The sequence below is a fragment of the Homo sapiens genome, chromosome 2 (assembly GCF_000001405.40).
Source record: "Homo sapiens chromosome 2, GRCh38.p14 Primary Assembly".
In the NCBI taxonomy this organism is placed as follows: domain Eukaryota; kingdom Metazoa; phylum Chordata; class Mammalia; order Primates; family Hominidae; genus Homo; species Homo sapiens.
In genome coordinates this window covers 133,707,568-133,709,748 of record NC_000002.12, presented here as the reverse complement: position 1 = coordinate 133,709,748, position 2,181 = coordinate 133,707,568, and positions in this window count along the sequence as shown.

Below are 2,181 nucleotides of genomic sequence, written 5' to 3'. Positions count from 1 at the left end.
GACCAGAAGAATCAGAAAAGTTTCCTAGAGTGATCAATAATTGAGCTTCAGTTACCTCTCCAAGTCCTGGCTCCATTTGTGTGTACCGATAATCTGGCAGGTGGAACTCTCCATCTTCCCCTCTCACCTGCTCTCCAGGATTTTGTGCACATGGCTCCCTTTGTCAGCAGTGTCAGCAATGTCTTATCCTTCTGTCTTCCACATCTCAAAACCCTTCTAGGGTACCATATGGTGGCTCCCATGCCCTGTATCCCCAAAGCTATCTCTGACCCTCCAAGTAAGAATCAATTGCACTTTCCTCTGTAAATGCTCTTATACTTGATACTCTTGCAGTCCATAGCCCATTCTGTCTTGGATCTGTTAACTGTTCACCCTTCATACATTCCCCCACCCCGTGTATTCCTTGAGTGGAACTTGTGCATCTTGGTAGCTCTATAAAACCCAGTACAATATCTTGTAAATTTGGATTTTAAGAAAATACTTGCTGAATTGAATATTTAGCTGCAAGAGAAGCATGGCACAATTTAAGATGCTATATTTAGGAGGGAATGTGTCCTATAATTTCAAGGTATAGTTTCTGAAATTTTTCATTCAAGGGATTGTATTCAGAGTAGGGTCATTCAGTGGGGACTTAGAATGATTTTTATTAACTGGATAACTAAATACTAACATTCAAAAGTATCATAGGAAGTGTAAAAGTCATTGCTTTTCTCAACTCTGAGGCTATTCAAAGAAAGAAAAATTTTAAACAAAATCCCTGTAAATGTGAAGTAAAACAACTAAGCATAGTTAGAGTCAAGGTCCTTGTCCCAACTGACCTTTGAGTTTAAAGTAATGGAAAAATACCAGCATGGATTTATAAATTTAAATTTTTGTTTTTAGATCTGGGCTCTATGTTTGTATATGTGTGTGTATGTATGTGTATGTGTACTATATATATGGATAATATATAGATTTATATGTATATATACATAATGTTTATACTTACATATAAATTTATATCTGTATATTTATATATATGTCTTTATATACACATATAATGTAAATAATATACTATATTATTATATAGGGGATATAGAGCATTGGAGCCACCTTGTATACCCTAAAAAGGTTTTGACAGATGGATGAAAGGAGGAAAAGACATTGTTGACATTGTTGGCAAAGGGAGCCATGTGCACAAATAATATATATATAATGTAAATAATATATATAAACATATATAAGTATAATACATATGCACACACACACATATATATCTGTTTCAAAATAAATATCACAGATCTTGACTTTTGGGTTAGTTAGTTCCTCCTCTGTGCCATAGGCCTTTGCATTTATGTCTTTTAGTGCATTTGTTATACATAAATCATTTGTTTTCCCAATTAAGTGGTGAGTTTTCTGAGTGGCTGCTCAGTGGTACATGCTCAAAGAAATAGTGGTTTGAACTGAAGTAAGATTTAAATCTGTTTCAGTAAATAAAATTACCTAAAGCTGGGACAATATGATATTGACCTTACTCGTTCTTATATAAATCAACATTTAACTCTTAGGCTTTGCCTAGGCCTTCTTAATGTTTGAAAAGTGATGATAATAGCTAACATTGACTGTGCACATACTGTGCATCACACTCTGTTGTAAGTACTTTTATTCTGTTCTAAATTTCTGTTATTTGATTTTCTGTTATATATGAGAAAACTGAGATGTAGAGGTTAAGTAACTTGCTCATGATTGCACATCTGTTAAGTGGTGGACTTCTACCAGAGCCTAATCGTAACAATGTCTGAGATAGTAATTTTACCCTACATGTGCATATGACTTAATTATCTACAAGTGCTTTAGCACATTATCTTATATTATTCTTATTTAATGAGCAAATTTACTCTAACAACTGTACGTTTTCCTTGATGAACAAAATACAGAAGTAGTCAGCTGACCTCAAGACCTCAGAATCTAGTGGGAGTGATTTTGGAATACTGATGACCTAGATTCTTGTTCTGACATAGTCACCAATAAATATCGTGACATTAGGCAAGACATTTCATCTCTCTGGGATAAACTGAATGGTAGGGTTATAATCAAATAATCATCAAAAGCTTGAGGATCTTTTTAATCAGCAGAATACAATGAATCTGCAGTATGTTCAAGATCTTGGAAGGTATTAGTGACAGAGCCAGGCTAAATCCC